The sequence below is a fragment of the Homo sapiens genome, chromosome 6, assembly GCF_000001405.40.
Source record: "Homo sapiens chromosome 6, GRCh38.p14 Primary Assembly".
Taxonomy (NCBI): Eukaryota; Metazoa; Chordata; class Mammalia; order Primates; family Hominidae; genus Homo; species Homo sapiens.
Genome location: NC_000006.12, coordinates 32534708 through 32560002, shown reverse-complemented (window position 1 = coordinate 32560002; position 25295 = coordinate 32534708). Strand labels below are relative to the sequence as shown.

Here is a 25295-nt window from a genome sequence, read left to right as displayed (position 1 = left end):
GAATACAGAATGTGGGCAAACTCGCTTCTGTGCCGGCCGCCAGAAGGTTTGCTGAGGGCAATCACTCCCTGGTGCCGGGCTCCTTGAGGTTATGCACTGGGACATCTAGAGCCTATTGTTTGAGGAATGCAGTCTTGCAAGCCTGCTCTGGATCAAGCCACAGACTGAAACACCCCCGAAGAGCAAGGTGCGCCCTGACCCCTTCTTCCAAATATACTCTTCTGTCTTTTGTCTTTATTCACCCATTCATCCTCCTTTGTTCAGTCCAACAGGGACTGTGGCAATTTAGTCAATGCAAGTTCAGTATCTTCATATTTATTTTTTGCCTTATGCAATATTTCTCAACATTTTCATGAGTTGTTGGTCATCACTATCTCTATTAACTTTCAACAGTTTGCTCTTGTAAGTCACAAATAGTGATGCTGCTGCAATTATTTTTCACTAACATGCCTCAGATTTCTGTAGTGATTCTACTTTTGATACCATTCACAATGTAAAATGCTTCTACTTATTCATTTCACTTTTAACCACAGGATTATTTTTACGTTATTTTTGTCACTTTCACACTTCAATGAAACATAAAGACAAAACATCAAAAATATATACATAGTGTTTTACATATGTGTATATTTACACATATATATGTATGTATGTTTATATGTATTGAGACTACAGAAGCACATGTCACCAATAAGAGCTCTGAGACACCTTTGACCACTTACCCTTATCAGATGACATTTGCCAAATGAGTTGTAGAAACAAGTTTTTTTAACTGAATTTCTGAGCTTTGTGGATTTAGAAATGCAAAGGAAGGTTTGTGGACATTCATGGGATCGTGGTTTTATTCTCCTTAAATCTCTTTGATACTTTCCCATTGTCTTTAGTATAAATCCAGAATCCTAATGCCACCCATGAGGCTTTTAAACACCTGGCTTCTTATGATGTCTCCAGGCTAATATTTTACCCTCTTTCCCTTCAGTCTCTCTGCTTTAGTGAACTTTCTTCTGGTTTCCTGAAGAAGTTCATCAATTCAAGCTTTTGTACATGGTATTTCCTAAACCTGAAAATGTGCCTCCCGTTTTGTCCAAACAGACACACAGGCTCCACTCCGCCCCCTGGCTCACACCTGCTTAACCTGTCAAGTCACATCTGAACTGTCATTCTTCAACGGGTCCTTCTCTGGCACCCTAATGTAATTGAGATCATCCTATTATTCTCTGTTCTAGAACTCCACACTTCTGACATTTCTCATTTCTGTCTAAGCTCTTGTGTGTTTGGTGTTTGGCCATAGCTTTCACTGCTCTTTAAGCTCCCCCAGCAGAGTGGAGAGGTCTGTTTTCCCTCGTTTGGATTCCTAGAGGCAGCGCAGGCCTGGCACAAGGTTATCACTAAGGAAGTGTTCACAGGATGAACGCGGTGGGTGCTGTTGAAGGAACCGGTAAAGCGTGTGGGATGAGAGAAGGAGCAGAGAGTGTCTTTAGGGTGGAGGCTCCCAGGAGGAGGCTGCACGGGCTGCGGCGCTCGGTGGATCCTCCTCCAGCTCCTGCTTGGAGGTCTCCAGAACAGGCTGGAGGCAGGGAGGGGGTCCCAAAAGCCTTGTAATCATTGGTAGTTTTCCTCCCTGGTCCCCCAAACCCCTGTACGCCTCAGGAAGACGGAGGATCAGCCCCTGGGCTGTGCATGGTCAGGGTTGCAGGTGGGGCTGATCAAGATTCCCAGCGCCCGCACCCCACCCAGGGAGCCCTGGATGGCGGCGTCGCTGTCAGTGTCTTCCTCAGAGGCCATCCCTGTGACTGGATCGTTCGTGTCCCCACAGCACGTTTCTTGGAGCAGGCTAAGTGTGAGTGTCATATCTTCAATGGGATGAAGCGGGTGCAGTACCTGAACAGATACATCCATAAACGGGAGGAGAACCTGCGCTTCGACAGCAACGTGGAGGAGTTCCAGGCAGTTACGGAACTGGGGCGGCCTGTCGCAGAGAACTGGAACAGCCAGAAGGGCATCCCGGAGGAGAAGCGGGACAAGATGGACGACTACTGCAGATACAATTACGGGGTTTTTTGAGAGCTTCACAGTGCAGCCGCGAGGTGAGCGCGGCGGGGGGCTGGGCCTGAGTCCCTGTGAGCTGGGAATTTGAGTGTGTGTGTGTGTGTGTGTGTGTGTGAGAGAGAGAGAGAGAGAGAGAGACATCTGTGAGCATTTAGAATCCTCTCAATCCTGAGCAAGGAGTTCTGAGGACACAGGTGTGTGTGTAGAGTGTGGATTTGTCTTTGTGGCCTTTGTGGGAGGGGAGGCAGGAGGGGGCTTCTTCTTATCCTTGGAGGCCTCTGTGGGGAGGTGACATGGGAGGTGGGTGCAGGGGGCTGGAGAGAGAGGAGACCTTGGTTGTCTCGTGTCCTTAGAGATGCAGCGAAGGGAAATGTAAGGTGTGTGTGGTTGGGGTGAAGGTTTAACGGAGGAGAGCTGAGGGGCATGGAAGGTTTGGGATGATGTGAGGAGGCCAGTTCCAAACTGTCCCTGACACACACCCTTCATATAATCTCTAAAATAGAAGTGCGTGGTGTTTGTTTGCAAAAGCATTAGATTAACTTCTAGGCGAATTGAGGAGACCTCTGAGGCACCTCTGAAGCTTCTTTAGGTCTAAATTTCTTGCCATTTTTTTTCTTAGTGTGTATATTTTTACATAGCTGAAATGATTGTGAAACTAACTTCTTGAATTAAAGTTTTAACACATTGTTATTATTTTATTATAATGCTAATAGTTTTCTAGTAGTTACATATTATTCTTTTATATGTGATAGTTGTGACACAACTTACCTCACTTTCCCTTTTGTTGACCTTTATTATGACATTCACCAAAAGTTGAAAATGTATGTTTCTGGTTAATTTTTAATTTATATTTTTGATTTGTAATTCTTTTGAATTATTTTGACCTATTTATTGGCCAATTATAATTACTGCTCTAAGAATTCCCTATTGTATTTGGTAGGTAATGGACAATAATCTATTGTCTATTATCTCTAGGGCTTAGTATTTTTCTCAGCTACTTTGTGGGTTCTTTGTACTGTAAGATTATTAACACTTTCTTGATATTTTATTCAGCATTTTCTCCAGTTTGTGGTTTGTATGTTGATTTTGAAAATTTTTTTCCATATTAAGGATTTGAACGTTTTTTGTTTGTTTGTTTTTGGTTTGTTTTTTTTTTTGAGACAGAGTCTCACTCTGTTGCCGATACTGGAGTGCAGTGGCGCGATCTCGGCTCACTGCAACCTCCACCTCCTGGATTCAAGCGATTCTTCTGCCTCTGCCTCCTGAGTAGCTGGGATTACAGGCGCGCACCCCCACGGTCGGCTAATTTTTGTATTTTTAGTAGAGACGTGTTTTCACCATGTTGGTCAGGCTGTTCTCAAACTCCTGACAGCCTCCCAAAGTGCTGGGATTACAGGCTTGAGCCTGAACGTTTTTATTTAATAAAATATATTGCAAATGTTTATTAATGATTTACAATCCATCTTAAATCTACCATTTTGTGGTATTGTTGTCTCCAGGTTTCTCCTTCCTTCTCACAAAAAATTGTACTATTGAGGGTATGCTAGTGTCAGGGATTTTCCTAGGCATAAGCACCCCTACTAATGAGTCCCAGACCCTGCCTTGATTCAAATGTCATTCTGGAAAAAAAATCATTTTACAATGATAGGTCTAATAATAGCTATGTTTGTTTTGCACAGGAGATGCATTGATCAGCTAAATGTAAATATAAGAACTTTCAATATTAAAATGGCCTTCCTTAATCCTTCTCACTGCTTTAGGACTCATGCCTTTCTAGGAGCTTAAAGATTTGGAGAATAGGCTGGGTGCAGTGGCTTATGCCTGTAATCCCAGCACCAAGGCGGGCAGATCACGAGGTCATAAGATGGAGACCATCTTGTCTAACACAGTGAAACCCCATCTCTACTAAAAATACAAAAAATTAGCTGGGCATGGTGGCGGGTGCCTGTAGTCCCACCAACTCAGGAGGCTGAGTCAGGAGAATCACTTGAACCTGGGAGGCAGAAGTTGCAGTGAGCCAAGATGGCGCCACTGCATTTCAGCCTGGGCAATAGAGCGAGACTCTATCTCAAAAAAAAAAAAAGATTTGGAGAATCATTTCTGTTTGTTTTGCACAGGAGATGCATTGATCAGCTAAATGTAAATATAATAACTTTCAAAACTAAAATGACGTTTCTTAATTCCTAAATCTCTGCTTTAGGACTCAGGCTTTTCTAGGAACATAAAGATTTGGAGAATCATTTCTGTCTGTCCTACCTTCCCAGGGGCAGAACCATTTCTCTGGTGTTCTAACGTGTGACAGCATGGTGGTAGTATTCCTAAAAATTCAGACTCGGTTTCCTCATTTACCCTACTCTGTCCCTTTATCCACATTGCTTTAAAACATATTCTTCTCTCAAGGTGTAAGAGGATGATAAATAGGTGCCAAGTGGAGCACCCAAGTGTGATGAGCCCTCTCACAGTGGAATGGGGTGGGAAGCTTTCTGACCTCATAAATTGAAGGCTATCTTCAGTCATTATTTTACATATTTTACGTAAATTAATCCTCATATAACCCCAAGAGGTAAATTAGTATAATTTAACCTACATTATACGTGAGAAAGTTGAGACACAAAAGAATCAAAAAACTCTTCCAGGATCAACCAGTAAAAGGCAGACCTTGGATTTGAACCAGGCAACCTGGCTCAGGTATCAGTTTTAATTAATACACACTGTACTTTCAGAGATTTGTAAACACTTCAACAATGCGTGACAATTTCAAGCTATGAAGAAACAAATAAAATTTTTTATAACATCTCTCAAATCTGATAGGTCCACACTATCACGATTAAATTCCAGGCCGATGACACTGTGAGGGCGTATGGCCAGCTGTGCTGGAGGCCTGGTCGAGGCCAGAGCCTGGGTTTACAGAGAAGCATACAAACAGCTGAACAACGAGACTCTAACTTCCTGATTCATTCTCTCTACCTTTTTTTCTCCTAGTCCATCCTAAGGTGACTGTGTATCCTGCAAAGACCCAGCCCCTGCATCACCGCAACCCCCTGGTCGGCTCTGTGAGTGGTTTCTATCCAGGCAGCATTAAAGTCAGGTGGTTCCAGAATGGTCAGGAAGAGAAGGCTGCGGTGGTCTCCATAGGCCTGATCCAGAATGGAGATTGGACCTTCCAGACCCTGGTGATGCTGGAAACAGTTCCTCGGAGTGGAGAGGTTTACACCTGCCAAGTGGAGCATCCAAGCGTGACGAGCCCTCTCACAGTGGAATGGAGTGAGCAGCTTTCTGACTTCATAAATTTCTCAACCACCAAGAAGGGGACTGTGCTAATCCCTGAGCGTCAGGTTTCTACTCTCCCAATCCTATTTTCATTTGCTCCATGTTCTCATCTCCATCAGCATAGGTCACTGGGGGTAGCCCTGTAATCGCTTCTAGAAACACCTGTACCTCCTGGAGAAGCAGTCACACCTGCCAGGCAGGAGAGGCTGTCCCTCTTTTGAACCTCCCCATGATAGCACAGGTCAGGGTCACCCGGTCTCCCTGGGCTCTAGGCTCTGCCTCTGGGTCTGAGACTGTGTTTCTGGTGCTGTTGATCTGAGTTGTTTGTTGTGATCTGAGAAGAGGAGAACTGCAGTGACCTTCCTGACATGAGGGGAGTCCAATCTCAGCTCTGCCTTTTATTAGCTCTGTCACTCTAGACAAACTACTTAACCTCACTGAGACTCAGGCTTTCTGTTGATCAGATTTTGAACTTGTGCCTTACATCAAGGCTGTAATATTTGAATGAGTTTGATGCCTGGACCTTGTAACTGTTCAGTGTGATTTGAAAACCATTTTTCCCCCAGAAAAAATAAATTTTTTCCCCAGAAAAAATAGTTATTTTAGTTCTTACAGGAGGTAGCCTTCTTCCCCATTTTGAAAGCTCTGAATCTTAGAGTCTCAATTAAAGAGGTTAAATTTGGAATAAAAATCACTAAACCTGGCTTCCTCTCTCAGGTACACGGACTGAATCTGCACAGAGCAAGATGCTGAGTGGAGTCGGGGGCTTTGTGCTGGGCCTGCTCTTCCTTGGGACAGGGCTGTTCATCTACTTCAGGAATCAGAAAGGTGAGGAGCTTTCCATAGGCTTTTCTGGAGGAGGAAATTTGGCTTTGCTAGGGTTAGTTCTCAGTATATCAGTGGCCCTGGATAAAGTCTTTCCCCAAATGACCTCCAATGTCCTGATAATCCAGAAATCATCAGTGCATGGTTACTACGTCAAAACATAATAGCTTGTGGCCTGCAGAGATAAGAGAAAGGTTAACAAGTAGGGATCCTTTGGTTCGAGATCCTGGAGCAAATTAAGGAAGAGCCACTAAGGCTAATGCAATTACACTGGATCCTGTGACAGACACTTCACACTTCATGGGTCACATGGTCTGTTTCTGCTCTTCTCTGTCGTGGTTGGTGTGGGTTGTGGTGTTAGAGAAATCTCAGGTGGGAGATCTGGGGCTGGGACATTGTGTTGGAAGACAGATTTGCTTCCATATCTTTTAAGTGTATATCTTTTCCTCTTTTTCCCAGGACACTCTGGACTTCAGCCAACAGGTAATACCTTTTAATCCTCTTTCAGAAAGAGATTCAGTTTCCCTAGAATGATGGCAGAGGTGATAAGGCATGAGACAGAAATAATAGGAAAGACTTTGGATCCAGATTTCTGATCAGGCAATTTACACCAAAACTCCTCCTCTCCACTTAGAAAAGGCCTGTCCTCTGCTGGATCATTGGCTCAGGGAGATCTAGGAACTTGTTTTTCTTCTTCCTGCAGTGCTCTCATCTGAGTCGTTGAAAGCAGGGAAAAGAAGCTTTTAGTAAAGCCAGGTCTGAAAACAATTTCCTCTGTCTCTGCAGGACTCCTGCGCTGGACTCCTGAGCTGAAGTGCACATGACCACATTCAAGGAAGAACCTTCTGCCACAGCTTTGCAGGATGAAAAGCTTTCCCACTTGGCTCTTATTCTTCCACAAGAGCTCTCTCAGGACCAGGTTGTTACTCGTTCAGCAACTCTGCAGAAAATGCCCTCCCTTGTGGCTTCCTCAGCTCCTGTTCTTGGCCTGAAACCCCACAGCCTTGATGGCAGCGCCTCGTCTTCAACTTTTGTGCTTCCTTTTACCTAAATTTTCCTGCCTCCCCTGGGTCTGTATTCCCCTTGTGCCACAAACACATTGCATTATTCAATGTTTCTCAAACATGGAGTTAAAAATTATCTGGTCCATTTGGCTGCAAGGACAAAAAATAAGAGAAAGGGAAGATTATTTCCCAATAGAATAATGGTTTTCATATATATATAATAAGTATATGAGGTAAATGCACATGTTAAATAGCTTGATTTAGACATTTCACACTATAGGCATATATCAAAATTTCATGCTCTACAACATAAATATACTATACAATTTTTACTTGTCAATTAAAAAAGTAAACCTAACGTTCAAAAAGGCAGTGCATAAAAACTGAGAACAGACTATAACAACTGAAACAAACTTGTCAAACATTGAGATGAGAAACCAGCCAGCAAGTCAATCAGAACTTTTTCTTAACCCCGTCTACAATATTGTGAATCTGTACCTTTAAATTAGTATATAGTTTTTCATTCCAGAGACTTCAATAATATAGTATTATCAAAGGACTTATACAGATTTCAGAGAAAGGCAAATTTAGAAGATGGAGGGTTCTCCATTGTATTCTATCTGAGAGTCAGCATCAAATATGTCAAATCTGAAAGTACATAATCAATTCAAAAGTTTACTTCAAAGTAATAATCATTTGAACATAATTTATCTGTCAGAGACAACTTATTTTATTTTCAATCAAATTCAATGTTTATTTTATGCATATTTTGTTTTTAGTTATATGTTATTATACATACATAGAAGTAAATGTATGTATAAATCCTATAAGAATATAAATCCTATAGGAATATATTAAGCTGACAATTATGTCTGTTCTGTTTGATCCTAGAGTTGCAACAATTACGCTTTGTTCCCTAAGTTGAGGAAATGATTTGTCTCATTTTATATGAGACTTGTGGTGTGGAATTCTAAGGTAGAATTAAAATGTGTGGGATGAATATTTGAATGAAGATGCCTTCTGCTGCGAATTGCAGGAAATCTCATCTAGTGGGCTTTTCTTTTCTTTAACCCGTTATCTCACATAGCTGATACATCCAAGGCTGGGCATCTCCAGGGTTGCTCAACCCAGCAGGCCAGTGTCATCACCAGCGATCCTGGAACTTCATATCTCATCTCTCTATCACACACAGCACGTCAGCTTTCCTGAGATGGTAGGAGGACCCCTGCAGCAGCTTTACGTTTCTTATTCTTTCACAACTCCCAAAGGCAGGAAAAGGATATGACTTTTTCCGTGTGTCTTTATAAGAATCAACTAAACAGTTTCTAGAGTGTTCCCAGTACCCCACTTTCTCAAACAATGGAATGACTGTGGGATCACATGGGCTCAGACAAGCCAGGATTCAACCTTTGTAGAGTGGGCCTGATGCACATGGGAAGAAAAGGAGCAAAATCATATATTTTTAAAAATAAAGAAATGGTGGATGGAGTAGGAGAGATTGATTTCAGGGTAGGGAAATGAAACATTGTGGTATTATTAGGTTGTTAGTATTTGTAGTTAAATTTCACATGAAGGCCTAGAGATTCCTGACAGGCATCCTCAATTCAGGGTTTTTGGGTCTTTTTAGATACATATATATTTATTATACATATATTTAAATATATATATTTTTAAAACATAAATATATATAATATACATACATTGAGTATTAAATGTCAACCATTAACTCAATTACAATAAAACAAAAAAGCAAGTAAAAAGGATTGTTTTTAGAACTCAAGTATGCTGACATGTTATTTTATGAGGTAAATATATTTTCTAGGGAAATTTTTGGAAAAAAGCAGAATAAGGAATGACTAGCTCTATAAGGTGCTGTTTTAAAACACACTATACATTTATTTTTTAAAAGGCATTTGTTACTGATTTTTTTTTTCATTAAATACTAGTAAAACAGAGTCTAGAATTAGAAAGAGTTGAGATTTAGTTTCAGTTTTTGGTAAGTTGTATTCCAAACTCCTTTCTTTCACTAAATAGATCCTGGATAAATTAAAATTGAAACATAAAGAGAAAATATAAAATCAACAAGACAGATGTTATTTATTTATTTATTTTTCTTTTTTGAGACGAGGTCTTGCTCTGTTGTCCAGGCTGAAGAGCAGTGGTGTGTTTCCTGCTCCGCACAACCTTTGACTCCTGGGTTCAAGCAATTCTCCTGCCTCACCCTACCGAGTAGCTGCGACTACAGGTGCATGCCACCATGCCCGGCTAATTTTTACGTTTTTAGCAGAGACAAGGTTTCACTGTGTTGGGCAGGCTGGTTTTGAACTCCTCACCTTGTGATCTGCCTGCCTTGGCCTCCCAAAGTGTTGAGACTACAGGCGTGAGCCACCGTGTTCAGCTGACAGATGTTATTTCTAATAGTATCATCAACATTACAATTATGTTTGAAGACAAACAGACTTAACTCTTACGTAGTGCTGCTGGGAGTGTATAATTTTACAAATACCTGGAAATTGGCAATTTCCTACAAAGTTTAACGTACGTTTGCCATATGACCCAGCAATTTCACTCCTTGGAATCTACCTAAGAGACATAAAAACATATGTCCTCACAAAGATATGTGTTTGAGTGTTCAGAACAGCGTTAGCCATAGTAGGCCCATACTGAAAACAATCCAAATATCCTTCAACTAGTAAACAGATAAACAAAATGGTACTACATCCATGCAAGGCAATATCATTCAACAATAAAAGGGGACAAAAATAGACTTATATGGCAGGGGAGATACCATGAACATGAGGGTAGTTTTCCCAAGGCAAGTTTCAATCCTTGCACTCCAGATGATGAGACATTACTTAATGGGGACAATGCATGTGATTGGGGTGATGGATACTGCAGAAACACTGACTTCACCACTATGCAATCTATGCAGGTAACAAAACTACACTTGTACCTTATAAATTCACACAAATGAAAGAAGACAACATGAATAAAAAGGAATGAAAAGAAACAAAATTGATGATACATACTACAAAACTGGTGAACTTCAATAATGTTAACTAAGTGAAGGAAACTGGACACAAAAGATTACATGTTGTATGATTTCCTTTACTTAAAATATCTAGAAGAGGTAAATTACAGAAACAAACAGCAGATCATTGGGTGCCTAGGACTTGGGGTATCGGTGGGAATTAACTATAAACAGAGAAATTTTGGACACTATAGAAATGTTACAAAACTGGATTGTTGTGATAATTGCACAAATCCATTCACTAACTAAAATCATTAAATTTTATATAGACAATGAGTAAATTTTGCAGTATGTAAATTATGCTTCAATAAACCTGTTAAAATAATTCTTTTTTTAAAAAATAAGACATCGTCGCTAGGTGTGGTGGCTCACACCTGTAATCCCAGAACTTTGGGAGGCCAAAGCGGGTGGATCACGAGGTCAGGAGTTGAAGACCAGCCTGGCCAAGATAGTGAAACCCCGTCTCTACTAAAAATACAAACACATTAGCAGGGCATGGTGGCAGGTGCCTGTAATGCCAGCTACTTGGGAGGCTGAGGCAGAGAATGGCGTGAACCCGGGAGGTGGAGGTTGCAGTGAGCCAAGATCGCACCACCGCACTCCAGTCTGGGCGACAGAGTGAGACTCCATCTAAAAAAAAAACAAAAAAAACAAACAAAAAAACAAGGCTCTGCATGGTGGCTCAAGCCTGTAGTCCCAGCACTTTGGGAGGCTGAGGTGGGCAGATCACGTGGTCAAGAGTTCAAGACCAGACTGGCCAACATAGTGAAACCCTGCCTCTACTAAAAATACAAAAATTAGCCGGACGTGGTGGTGCATGCCTGTAATCCCAGCTACTCAAGAGGCTGAGGCAGGAGAATCGCTTGTGAGCGGGAGACGGTGGCTGTGGGGAGCGGAGATCACACCATTGCACCCCAGCCTGGGAGACAGAGCAAGACTCTGTCTCAAAAACAAAAAACAACCACAACAAAAAAACAAAGAGGTGAGGAAATTGATAAAATTATTTTCTTGGTTTTGTTTTCTATTTGTTTATGGTAGAACATTATTGTGTTAGTCCATTCTTACATTGCTAAACAGAAATACCTGAGGCTGGGTAATTCATAAAGCAAAGAGGTTTAACTGGCTCAGGGTTTTGCAGGCTGTACAGGAGGTGTGGTGCTGGCAATTGCTTCTGGTGAGGGCCTCAGGAAGCTAACAATCATGGGGGAAGGAAAGGGGAGCCCAGGTATCACACGGTGAGAGCAGGAGCGCAGAGAAAGTGGGGAAGAGTCGCACTCCTTTAAACAACCAGATCTCCTGTGAACTGAGTGAGAACCCATGGATTACAGCTAAGATGGTGAGAGGTGACAGCGTGCTGGCAGTCCTCAGAGCCCTCGCTTGCTCTCCGCACCTCCCCTTCCTGGGCTCCCACTTTGGTGGCATTTGAGGAGCCCTTCAGCGCCCCACTGCACTGTGGGATCCCCTTTCTGGGCTGGCCAAGGCTGGAGCTCACTCCCTCAGCTTGCAGGGAGGTGTGGAGGGAGAGGCACAAGCGGGAACTGGGGCTGCGAGGCGCTTGCGGGCCAGCTGGAGTTCCAGGTTGGGCGTGGGCTTGGCGGGCCCCGCACTCGGAGCAGCCGGCCAGCCCTGCTGGCCCCGGGCAATGGGGGACTTAGCACCTGGGCCAGTGGCTGCGGAGGGTGTACTGAGTCCCCCAGCAGTGCTGGCACACCGGCACTGCGCTCGATTTCTCGCTGGGCCTTAGCTGCCTTCCCGCGGGGCAGGGCTCAGGACCTGCAGCCCGCCGTGCCTGAGCCTCCCACCCACTCCATGGGCTCCTGTTCGGCCGGAGCCTCCCGGACGAGCACCACCCCCTGCTCCAGGGCGCCCAGTCCCATCGACCACCCAAGGGCTGAGGAATGCGAGCGCACGGTGCAGGACTGGCAAGCAGCTCCACCTGCAGCCCTGGTGCGGGATCCACTAGGTGAAGCCAGCTGGGCTCCTGAGTCTGGTAGGGACGCGGAGAGTCCTTATATCTAGCTCAGGGATTGTAAATACACCAATCAGCACCCTGTGTTTAGCTCAAGGTTTGTGAGAGCACCAATCGACACTCTGTATCTAACTAATCTGATGTGGACATGGAGAACCTTTGTATCTAGCTCAGGGATTGTAAACGCACCAATCAGCGCCCTGACAAAACAGGCCACTGGGCTCTACCAATCAGCAGGATGTGGGTGGGGCCACACAAGAGAATAAAAGCAGGCTGCCCAAGCCAGCCTTGGCAACCTGCTCTGGTCCGTTTCCATACTGTGGAAGCTTTGTTCTTTCACTTTTTGCAATAAATGTTGCTACTGCTGACTCTGGGTCCACGCTGCTTTTATGAGTTGTAACACTCACCGCGAAGATGCAGCTTCACTACTGAGCCCAGCAAGACCACGAGCCCACTAGGAGGAACGAACAACTCCAGATGCGTTGCCTTAAGAGCTGTAACACTCACCGCGAAGGTCTCACCGCGAAGGTCTGCAGCTTCACTCCTGAGCCACTGAGACCACGAACCCACCAGAAGGAAGAAACTCTGAACACATGTGAACATCAGAGGGGACAGACTCCAGACGCGCCACCTTAAGAGCTGCAACACTCACTGCGAGGGTCCGTGGCTTCATTCTTGAAGTTAGTGAGAGCAAGAACCCACCAAGTCCGGACACAACGGCACCAAGCCAGTGATGAAGGATGTGCCGCCCACCAAAATACCTCTCACCTCCAACACTGGAGACTATGTTTCAACAAGAGATTTGGAGGGGACAAACATCCAAACTATATCAATAACGTACTTGCTTTAATGTATACTGACTTTGTATCCAGCAACATTATTTAAATTCACTTATTAAAATAGTTTGTTTACTAATTTTATTTTTTAAGTAGCTGATTATGTTGAGAGTAAATAATGACCGTTTCACCTGGATGCAATTATCTTTTATTTATTTTTCTTGCCGTTTTCTTTGCCTAACTCCTCTAGTACTCCAGATATGAAGGAGACAGTTTTAAATATTTCACTACTGACACTAATATGTGCAATAAGGTAGCTATCATTTCTCAGACTGAAGAAATAACTTTTTAATACAAGTTTGCAAATAGATTTTTAAAAAATTAAGGCCAAGTGCTGAGTTCTGTCAAATCATATTTCAAGACTCTATCCAGGTGGTTGCCATGTGTATTCTCCTTCCTTCAGTTAATGTAATGAATCACACTAATGGATTCTCAAATGCTCAAACAACCTTGCATTTCTGGAATAAACTCCACTTGGTCATGATGTAGTAGCTGTCTTTTATATCACTGATTTCAGTTGGCTATTATTTTCTTAAGAACTTGGCTCTTAAGAATTATTGGTCCATAAATTCCTATTTGTTGTAGAGTTCTTTTCAGATCTTGAAGTAAAATTTACACAGATCTCATCAAACCTAACTGCAAGTGTTTTCCGCTTTTTCAAATGTTTGAAGTTTGCATAAAGTTAGTGTTGTTTGTTCCTTAAATATTTTAAAATATTTACTGAAGCTAAATGAACCTGGGGTTTTGTCTTGGGAAAGCTTTATACAATCGGCTTTCTCTATGAGATGTGGAACTCTTCATACTTTACGTTATTTGTTAGCTTCAGTACTTTGCACATTTTGAGTAATTTATTCATTACATGCAAATTTGTTTTTGTAAAGTTATTCATAATATTCAGTATTATTTCATGCTAATAAATCTGTAAGACTATAACAAAAGATATGAAATTTGTGTCACTAGAGTCTTAGAGAAAGATGACAAATGGGTGATGCCCAAAGAGTCTTTGAAGGAAGATTGACTATTTTCCAAATTTGGATAAAGACTTTAAAGTAAAAATTCAAGAATCTGTGCGAATCTAAAGTAAGATAAATCCAAAGAAATTTATGTCGAAAAATCTTGATAGCAACAAGAGAGAAATGACATCTCATGTACAGGAGAAAATAAATTAAATGACAGTGTATTCCTCATTAGAAATCATGCAGACCAGAGAGAAGTGCCACCAGATATTTTAATGGCTGAAAGTAATGTTAACTAGAATGTATATACAGAAAAATATTATTATAAAATGAAGGTTCTATTATGACATTTTTTTTTCTTTTTTTTTTTTTTTTGTTTTTTAGATGGAGTCTTGCTCTGTCACCCAGGCTGGAGGGCAGTGGCGCAACCATGGCTCACTGCAGCCTCTGCCTCTCAGGCTCGTGTGATCCTCACACCTCTGCCTCCTGAGTAGCTGGAATTACAGACACACACCACCAAGCCTGGCTAACTTTTTGTATTTTTGGCAGAGACAGGGTTTTGCCATGATGCCCAAGCTGGTCTCAAACTGTTGAGCTTAGGGGATGCGCCTGCCTCGGCCTTCCAAAGTGCTGGGATTACAGGTGTGAGCCACCGTGCCCGGCCATGACATTCTTAGAGGAAGGAAAATCAAGAGAATTTGATGCTAGCAGACTTATCCTAAAACAAGGGTAAAGGAAGTGCTTGAACTGGAATAGAAATGATGAGGGAAGAAATCTTGGACAATCAGGAAAAAAAAAACTATAGAATGAGTAAAAATATGGGTCTGCAAATGTCCATTAGATCTTATTGGTGGATAGTTTTGTTGGGTTTCATTATCTTGCTGAGTTTTTGCCCAGTTGTTTTATTAACTTTTCAGAGTTGGTTTGTGGAGTCCCAAAGTTTAACTGTGTATTTGTCTATTTCTCCTTCCAGTTCTGACCGTTTTTTGCTCTACTTATAAGTAACTCAGTTGTGTGGTGTACACACTTTTAGAGTTGCTATGTCTTCTTTCTGAATTAACATTTTTATGATTGTGTAGTGTTTCCGTTTGTCTCTCAGAATATTCTTTGCTCTGTGCATTTTGTTATCTGATATTATAGCCATTTCTGCTTTCTTTGACAACAGACTTTTCTTTCTATACAACAGACTTCTCTTCTTCACGTTTATAAATTAGTTTGATGGTTGAGGCAAAAATTACAACATTGTCAGATCTGGGTTTTGATGCAAGTAGAGAAAATAAAAAATATGTATTATAAATGCGGGAGCGAAAGGGATAAAAAGGTAAAGTTTTTATACTGCAGTCAAATTGAAAAAATCTTAGCACAAGTAGACTATAAGTTGCATTAATAGATAGATAAATCACAAAAACTCTACAATGAGATACACCAAAAAATGATTGATTAAAAAATGGAATTCTAAATATTGCTTAAGGGACACATCAAAAAACAGGGAAAGAAAACAGAGAAGCAAAAACCAGAGGAAACAAAAAACAAATGGCAGTCATGAGAGCTCACATATTAATAATTGCATTACATTAAATTGTCTAAAAAGACAAAATGTCAGAGTGAAAAATAATTACCCGTCGATATGCTACCTATGAGAAACTTACTGCAAATATTTCAAGAGTGGAAGGCTGAAACAGAAGAATGGAAAAAAATAAACCATACTAACTGTTGTCAAAGAAAGCAGAAATGGCTATAATATCAGATAACATAAAATGCACAGAGCAGAGAATATTCTGAGAGACAAACGGAAACACTACATAATCATAAAAATGTTAATTCAGAAAGAAAACATAGCAACTCTAAAAGTGTGTACACCACACAACTAAGTTACTTATAAGTAGAGCAAAAAACGGTCAGAACTGGAAGGAGAAATAGACAAATACACAGTTAAACTTTGGGACTCCACAAACCAACTCTGAAAAGTTAATGAAACAACTGGACAAAAACTCAGCAAGATAATGAAACCCAACAAAACTATCCACCAATAAGATCTAATGGACATTTGCAGACCACCACACCAAACAGCAGAATACACATTTTTAACTGTCCATGGAATATTTACCAACATCGCTCATACCCTGGACCATAAAAGGAACTTCAACAAATGTAAAGAATTGAAATCATACAGACTGTGCTCCCTGGAAGCAACGGAGCTGAACCAGAAATCAGTAACATGAAGAAAATCAGTATAATTCCAAACACATGGAAACTTAGTAACATACTTTTAAATTACCCTTGGATCAAAAAAGATGTCTTGGCCAGGCGCGGTGGCTCACGCCTGTAATCCCAGCACTTTGGGAGGCTGAAGCGGGTGGATCACGAGGTCAGTTGTTCGAGACCAGCCAGACCAACATGGTGAAACCCCCACCTCTACTAAAAATAGAAAAAAATTAGCTGGGCGTGGTGGCGCTTGCCTATAATCCCAGCTACTCAGGAGGCTGAGGCAGGAGAATGGCTGGAACACGGGAAGGCTGAACTTGCAGTCAGCGGAGATTGTGCCACTGCACTCCAGCATGGATGACAGAGCGAGACTCTGTCTCAGAAAAAAAAAAAAAAAAAAAAAAGGCCCGGCGAGGTGGCTCACGCCTGTAATCCCAGAACTTTGGGAGGCCGAGGTGGGTGGATCACGAGGTCAAGAGATCGAGACCATCCTGGCCAACATGGTGAAACCCCGTCTCTACTAAAAATACAAAAAATTAGCGGTGTGGTGGTGGGCGCCTGTAGTCCCAGCTATTTGGGAAGCTGAGGCAGGAGAATCACTTGAACCCGGGAGGCAGAGCTTGTCCAACATCGCGCCACTGCACTCCAGCCAGAGCCGTCACACGGTGGCTCACGCCTGTAATTCCAACACTTTGGGAGGCCGAGGCAGGTGGATCACGAGGTCAGGAGCTCGAGACCATCCTGGCTAACACGGTGAAACCCAGTCTCTACTAAAAATACAAAAAAAAATTAGCCGGGCTTGGTGGCGGGCGCCTGTAGTCCCAGCTACTCGGGAGGCTGAGGCAGGAGAATGGCGTGAACCCGGGAGGCAGAGCTTGCAGTGAGCTGAGATCATGCCACTGCACTCCAGCCTGGGCGACAGTGCAAGACTCCATCTCAAAAAAAAAGATGTCTTAAGGAAAATAAAAAGTATGTTCAACTAAGTGATAATGAAAATACAACATATCAAAATGTTTGGCACATAGCTAAAGGAGTGCTTTGAAGTACTATGCATAGTACAAAATGTATACACTGAAAAAGAGAAAACTTCAGAAAGCAATAATCTCAGTTCCCACCTCAAAAATCTAGAAAAGTTGTCAAAAATAACCTAAAGCAAGAAGAAGGAAAAAAAAAAACTAATATAAAGGCAGAACTCAGTGGCTCATGCCTGTAATCCCAGCACTTTGCAAGGCTGAAGCGGGTGGATCACCTGAGGTCGGGAGTTTGAGCCTGACCAACACGGAGAAACCCCATCTCTACTAAAAATACAAAATTAGCCGAGCATGGTGGCGCATTCCTGTAATCCCAGCTACTTGTGAGGCTGAGGCAGGAGAATCACTTGAACCTGGGAGGTGGAGGTTGCAGTGAGCCGAGATTGCGCCACTGCACTCCAGCCTGGGCAACAAGAGCAAAACTCCATCTCAAAAAAAGAAAAGAGAGAGAGAGAGAGAAAATCAGTGGAAAAAAAAAGTTTGTTCTTTAAAAATATTAATAGAACTGACAAATTTCTAGGACAAAATAAAAGGAAAAAGGAGAAAAAACACCAATATTGGGGTGGAAACATTATATCACTACAGATTCTTCGACATCAATAGTACACCAAAGGAATACACCAAGAACACTTAGGTGAAATGGAAAAGAATCCTTTAAAAGTACACAAGTACACACTATTACAACTAACTCAATATGAAATAGATACACTGAAAAGCTCTATAATTATAAAAAGAATTGAACTTATAGGAGAAATCTCTAGGTTAGAATAGTTTCACAGGAGAAATCTACCAAACATTTCAGTAGAATTAACACAAGTCTGCAAAATTTCCTCCAGAAAGCAGAAGAGAAGGGAAGACATCCCAACTTACTTTATGAGGCCAGCATTTCCTAAAATCAAAAGCACACAAATATAGTACAGGAAAAGAAAATTAAAAAGCAATATACCTGCATGACTATACATGCAAAACTCCCTAACAAAATGTTAGCAAGTAAAAAATCAGCCAAACTAAAAATATATGTAAACTATGCCAAATAGCGTTTATTTTAGGGACACAAGTCTGGTTTAATGTTTGAAATCAATCAATGTCATCCATCTTATTAAGAAGCTAAAGAAGAAACATCGCATGGTTCTATCAGTTGATGTAGAAAAGGCCTTTGACATAATTCTACATTAATTTATGATTTTAAAAAGCCCCTCAAAATAGTAGGAACTGAGGATGACCTCCTCAACTGGATAAATAACTTCTACAAAAACGTTGCGGCTAAATTGTACTTAATAGTGGAAGTCTGAATGCTTTTCCTCTTCTGCTTCAGCTACTAAGGAAATTCACAAGGTCACAGAGTTCAAGATCAACAAAAAAAATCAATTTTATTTGAATATACAGTAATAAAGAAATCAAAACAAATACTAAAATTACAACACAAATTATTTTCATTCAAAAAACCTCATAAGTATACCAACAGAACATGTACACAATCCATATGCTGAAATGCTGATAAATAAAAAAATCTGAAGAAATGAAGAGATTTACTGTGTTCATCAACTAGAGAATTAAATATAGTAAAGATGTCAATTCTCCCCAATTTGATGTCCAGGTTTAACACAATTTCTCTCTAAATTTCAGCAAGATTTGTAATAGTTGTAGACAAAGTTATTCTAAAATGCATATGGAGAACCAAAGGAACTAGCATAGGTAAAACAAATTTCACAGGGAAAAAGAGATGAAGTAACTCTTACCAAATTTCAGAATTTTTATAGCTATAGTAATCAATACTGATTGACATTAGTGCAGGGATAGACATAGATTAGTGGAGCAGCATAGAGAATCCAGAAATACACCTATATGAACTCATTTTGACAAAGATGCAAAATAATTCAATGGAGGTAATATAGGCTACAGTCTTTTCAAACAATGGTCCAGGAGAAAGTGGAAATTCATAGACAAAAACAAAACTAAACAAAAACAAAAAAGAAGCAAAAGGAAAAAGAAGCAAGAAAGAAACTTAAATTCTCAGACCTTATGAAAACATTTATCCCAATTACATCATGTCTACATGTAAAACGTTTAGAAGAAAACATAAGAAAAATCATCAGAAGCTAGGGCCTGCTGTCTGAGTTCTGAGTTCTTAGACATGACATCAAAAGCACTATGTGTAAAAAACAAAAAGACAAAAACAAAAACAAAAAAATCAATAAATAAGGTTTCTTCAGAATTTAAAACTTTTGTTCTGTAAAGTATCCTGTTAAGAAATAAAAAGTAAGTTAGAGATATGGAGAAAATATTTAAAACCACATGTATTACCAAGAATACATTGTTGAAAATATGTAATGAACTATAAAAGCTCTTCTATAAAATATATAGTAGAGTGCAGACTATAAAATTTAATTGTGGCCGGGAATGGTGGCTCACGCCTATAATCCCAGCACTTTGGGAGGCCGAGGTGGGTGGATCACAAGGTCAGGAGTTGGAGACCATCCTGGCTAACGTGGTGAAACCCAGTCTCTACTAAAAATCCAAAAAAAAAAATTAGCCGGGTGTTGTGGCCGGCGCCTGTAGTCCCAGCTACTCAGGAGGCTGAGGCAGGAGAAAGGCGTGAACCCGGGATGCAGAGTTTGCAGTGAGCTGAGATTGTGCCACTGCACTCCAGTCTGGGCGACAGAGCGAAACTCTATCTCAAAAAAAAAAAAAAATTTTTAATTACAAAATGGGCAAAAGATATGAAGAGACATTTTATCAAAGAGGATATATATACATGGCAAATAAGCACAATGAATGACATGCAAATCAGCAGCCATCAGGGAAATGCAAATTAAGAACTTGGTCTAATAGCACTACACAACTTCTAATAAAGCTAAAATCTCTAAAAAATCTGACAATGGTAAATGCTGGTGAGAATGCAGAAAAATTGAATTTCTCATACACTGATGGTGAGAATGTAAAATGGGACAGTCCTTCTGTGTCAGGAATTTATTCCTTCCGGTGGGTTCTTGGTCTCGCTGACTTCAAGAACGAAGCCACAGACCTTCGCGGTGAATGTTACAGCTCTTAAAGACGGTGTGTCGGGAGTTTGTTCCTTCAGATGTTCATATGTGTCCGGAGTTTCTTCCTTCTGGTGGATTCGTAGTCTCGCTGACTTCAGGAGTGAAGCCGCAGACCTTCACAGTGAGCGTTACAGCTCTTAAAGGTGGCACGTCTGGAGCTGTTTGTTCCTCCCGATGGGTTCGTGGTCTTGCTGACTTCAGGAATGAAGCCGCAGACCCTCAGGGTGAGTATTACAGCTCATAAAGGTGATCTGGACCCAAAGCGTGAGCAGCAGCAAGATTTATTGTGAAGAGTGAAAGAACAAAGCTTCCACAGCGTGGAAGGGGACCTGACCTGGTTGCCACTGCTGGCTCGGGTGACCAGCTTTTATTTCCTTATTTGGCCCCACCCACATCTTACTGATTAGTCCATTTTACAGCGTGCTGATTGGTCCATTTTACAGAGCGCTGATTGGTGCATTTACAATCCTTTAGCTAGACACAGAGCACTGATTGGTGCATTTTTACAGAGTACTGATTGGTGCATTTACAGTCCTTTAGCTAGACACAGAGTGCTGATTGATGCACTTATAATCCTTTAGCTAAACAGAAAAGTTCTCCAAGTCCCCACCTGACCCGGAAGCCCAGCTGACTTCATCTCTCAATCCCCGCTCTAAACAGGACACCACAACTGCTGTTGGGAATTGGGCAATGACCACTCTAGCTACTTCCTGATGGATAGGGGCGAAGAAGGGGCCATGCAGTTGTAGTGTCCTCCAGAGGGGAACTCTTTAGGCCAGTGAAAGGGTCAGTGGCTCAGTTCAGGGGTCCTTGGTAGAAGTTGTTAGCTGAGCTCATTTGGGGTTCCCTTTGTAAGACCATCTGCAGCTTGTTGGCCTGGATCCTAGAGGAAACAAATTTGACAAGGAGGTTAAAACTACAGGGCCCAAAGGGGAGTAATAGTAAGATGGCTGTCACAGGACCTAGAAAAGGGAGAAGCATGTTGCCCAACTCCAGAGGTTGGTATAAGAGTTTCAAAGGCTGGCCAGGCGCAGTGGCTCACGCCTGTAATCCCAGCACTTTGGGAGGCCGAGGTGGGCAGATCATGAGGTCAGGAGATCGAGACCATCCTGGCTAACACAGTGAAACCTCGTCTCTACTAAAAATACAAAAAATTAGCAGGGCATGGTGGCGGGTGCCTGTAGTCCCAGCTACTCGGGAGGCTGAGGCAGGAGAATGGCGTCAACCTGGAAGGCAGAGGTTGCAGTGAGCAGAGATAGCACCACTGCAGTCTGGCCTGGGCGAAAGAGTGAGACTCCGTCTAAAAAAAAAAAAAAAAAAGAGTTTGAAAGTCATTGTCTGATTTCAGAAGCCTTTTCCTGTAAACGCTGGGTGGCATCTCATACTATCCCTGACTAGTTAGTGTAAAAACAACACTCTTCCCCTAAGAAGGTGCAGAGTCCTCCTTTCTCAGCAGTGAGGAGGTCTAGGCCTTGGCGGTTTTGAAGAGTCACTGCTGCCAAAGAGTCTATTTGGGACTGTAGAGTAAGGATAGATTTCGTTATTTCTTGCAAACTGCCTGAGAAATCCTTTGAGAGTGTGTGGTAGTAGGATAGTGAAGTAGATAAACTGGCTATTCTGGTTCCTGTAGCAGTAGCCATTCCTAACCCTACAAGTAGGGGTATTAGTTGTATGGATGTTAATAGTAAAATAAACTGAACAGAGGGCCATTTTAGGGAAGGAGGTATGTAGGAACTCCCTAAACTTTCTCTGGAAGTTTTTTATACACTTGAAACTGCCTTAAAAATGGTCTCGTTACATGGGAGGATATGGACTTACTTTTGCTTTTCATTCCATACTTGTCTGAGTTTGAGTGTATTCTCTGTTGTCACCTATTTATTTTATATTAAAACTGTAGATATGTTAGCTAACACTTATTCCATTTGCAACATTCTCAAGAGTCTGCTTTCTTTAAACCATAGGTAAAGAAACTTGTTATTTATTCGTTAAGTCTTACAAGGTTATGCCATCTTGGTTTGTGCTTATTTTGCTTTTCTAGGATTTTTATCACTGGGCTGTAGAAATTTTGAGGAAAACAATTCCGCAACCAATCCAAGGCCGAAATGAAGTTACAAAGTTACACTCCTGTGCAAACATCTGATTAGTTGAAAACAACCAATCAGAGGCACTTTCAGTTTCCCATTTGTCACGCAGTAAAGGGGGGGTGTTACAAAGGGAGTAGTCTCTGGAACTTTTGCTAATTAGGCATAGAAAGTTTGAGTTTTCCTTTCAATTTAGTTCCATTCGGAAGTCAACATGAAACGGCCTTAGGTTCCCTGCCTCCAGACCCTATTCTCCTGGCTTATCTGGAAGACACTCTGGCTGTTTCTTACAAAGCGAAACATACTCTACCATAAGATTCAGCAATTGCAATCCTAAGTATTTGCCCAAATACGTGGAAAACTTCTGTCCACACAAGTGTACACGAATGTTTATAGCAGCTTTATTTATAATTGCCAAAAATTCAAAGCAACGAAAATGTCCTCCAGTAAGTGAGTGGATAAACAAATTGTGGTACATCCATACCATGGGTTGTTATTCAACATTAAAGAGAAGTAAGCTATCCAGCTAGGAAAAGACAGGAGAAAACCTATATGCATATTGTTATGTGAAAAAAGCCAGTCTGAAAAACTATATACCATATGATTACAACTGTATAACATTCTGGAAAAGGCATAAATACAGTGACAGTAAATAGTGGTTTCCAGGGGTTCAGGAGAAAGAGGAGTGCATGAGTAGGTGGAGCCTGGGACAATTTTAGGTCAGCGAAACTACTTCATAGGATAATTTTGTCACTGAAACACCAGGGGTACAGTCTAGATCTTGCACACAAGGGCTTTGGTCTGGATCTTGCTGCTCACCACACAGAAAGCCAATCACTGAGATGACAATGAGTATTGCCAAAGAAGAAGGCTTTAATCTTTAATCAGGTGCTAAAGCTGAGGAGATAGGAGACCAGTGTCAAATCCATCTCTGTGACTGACTAAAATTAGGAGTTTATCTAGCATGGAAGAAATGTAACTATGTATGGGAAAACAGGAACTAGAGAGGGGTAAGGGAACAATCACGATGAATGAGGAACTTGGAGTCTCATTGTCTGGATGAGATGATCTGGTGAGTTCCAGCTCTTTGATACTTTTTGAGAGGCATGGGGGAATCTTTTTTTGGAAAGGAACTCAGATAAAACAAATGTAAGTTTCAAGCTTTAAGACCAGAAGTGTCCATTTCTATGTTTATTTAAAAAAAAAAAAAACTGCCTATGGGACTCTTGGGTCAGTTCCACTAAATGGTGGATATATGACATTATGTATTTATCAGAACCCATAGAACTGTATAAGAATTATCCCTAATTTCACTATGGATCTCAGTTAACAACAAGTATCAGTACTGCTTCATCAGTAGTAACAAGTGTACCACACTGATGCAGGATGTTAATAATAGGAGAAACTGAGCAGAGGGATGCTTTAGGGAAGAAGGGCTGTGGGAACTCTATGAACTTTCTCTGTAATTTTTCTGTCCACTTAAAACTACTTTTAAAAAATGGTCTTGTTACATGGAATGATATGGATTTATTTTTGCTTTTTCATTCCGTCTTTGTCTGCATTTGACTACATTCTCTGTTGCTCATCTACACCCTGTTCGTGTAACAGCTTTTTTAGCCTCATCATTAGGCAGATCCCCAGTTCTTGTCCTGCATCCAGGAAGAATGAGGTATGCAGACAAGTAGAGGGTTAGCAGGACAAAGAGGACCTTTATTAAGCAATAGAACAGCTCAGAGAGCTGCAGTGGGCAGCTCCTCTCCATAGCCAGGTTGCCCCAACACCTGTTCAGTTATCAACAGAGAGGGTAGCTCCTCTCTGCAGCTGATTGTCCTGTCCTTTCCTCAGTTCTCAGCAGAGAGGAGACCTTGGTGAGGGCAGCTTCACTCTGCAGCTGAGAGGAGACGCTGGGGAGGTTAACTCCTCTCCTCAGCAACTCATCCCTCATGTCCCTGTCCTGTCTCTATGCTCTCTCCATCCTCTTCTCAAGTCCGCCTGAGCCCAGGGCTTTTACAGGCCTCAGAGGGGAGGAATGGATGGCCATGGGGCAGGCCCAGAAAAGGCACAAGTTCCCACTCCTGTCCGCAGGATTGGCAGCCCAACCCACAGCCTTCAATCCCTCCCTGGCCTGAAGGAGGGGCTTCACCAGGGACCTGCCCCCTTCTGCCCAGGAGACTGTCTGCCTCCCAACCCCGTCCATGGCACCTAGGCTGCTCATGGCAAGGGGCCTGTAGGCCAGCACCAGTTGCCCTCAGCCCATCTTCCCTCGGCTTCCCCGTGGCTGAGGTGGCAGGAGGCTGGTGTGTCAATGTTGCCCTGAGCATGCATACACCCGGCTAGGCTGTAACAGCACCGGGGCTTGGCCCCAAACTCCACTCTGAGATCAAAGCGGGCACCCGGGGCCTGGAGAGGCCAGGTGAGAAGCCAGGCACTGGGAGCAGATACCTGGAAGCCTGCAGGGGCAGGGGGTTCTTCACGTCCTTGAAAGCATGGAGTGCAGAGAGGCCTGGATCCTGCTGCGTAGAGGGCAGGACTCCCACTCAATCCTTGGAGTCTGCAGGTAGCCCCTGTCCCACCTTCACATAGCCTGGGGTGGGCAGCTCCCCCTCGCCTGTGCCCATGCCAGCATCTGGGGCAAGGATGATGTGTCTGCAAGTTCTTCCCCTACCACTCAGGGGTGCCTGGGGCTCCCTCTTGCCTGGATGGGATGGGGGAGGCACCGTGGGGAGCAGATCACGCCCAAGCCTGGCCGTCGGGAAAATCAGGCTTCGTGGCCACCCTGGGGACACAACCCTGGGCAGCCTCAGGCAGAACCTCCTCCTGAGGTGCAGGAACTGGGCTTCCTCAGCATGGTGGGACAGTGATCATGCCGCTGGCTGGGTCCCCAAAGCAAGGCCACTCCCACTTCCCAAACCGGGCCCAACAAGCCTGGCCCTAGCTCCATGCCCTCCCCACAGCTACAGGGTGATAGCAGTAAAGCAGGAGTCGTGGAGGCTC

The 25295-nt window shown here is 42.4% G+C and overlaps 2 pseudogenes across 1 annotated transcript, besides 1 other annotated feature; both read left to right on the top strand.

Moving 5' to 3' along the window:
• HLA-DRB6 (major histocompatibility complex, class II, DR beta 6 (pseudogene)) lies at positions 1-7290 on the top strand (annotated as a pseudogene). The gene is made up of 6 exons (NR_001298.1): positions 1-187; positions 1817-2087; positions 5032-5313; positions 6037-6147; positions 6604-6627; positions 6931-7290. The product of NR_001298.1 is annotated as a major histocompatibility complex, class II, DR beta 6 (pseudogene) (transcript).
• Positions 9913-10063, top strand: RNU1-61P (RNA, U1 small nuclear 61, pseudogene; annotated as a pseudogene).
• Positions 11332-11831: an enhancer, noted in NCBI's record as "H3K4me1 hESC enhancer chr6:32515949-32516448 (GRCh37/hg19 assembly coordinates)". NCBI's record gives its function as "activates a minimal SCP1, AML or CMV promoter by ChIP-STARR-seq in primed H9 embryonic stem cells {active_cell/tissue: H9 hESC(primed)}" and the evidence as "EXISTENCE:reporter gene assay evidence [ECO:0000049][PMID:30033119]".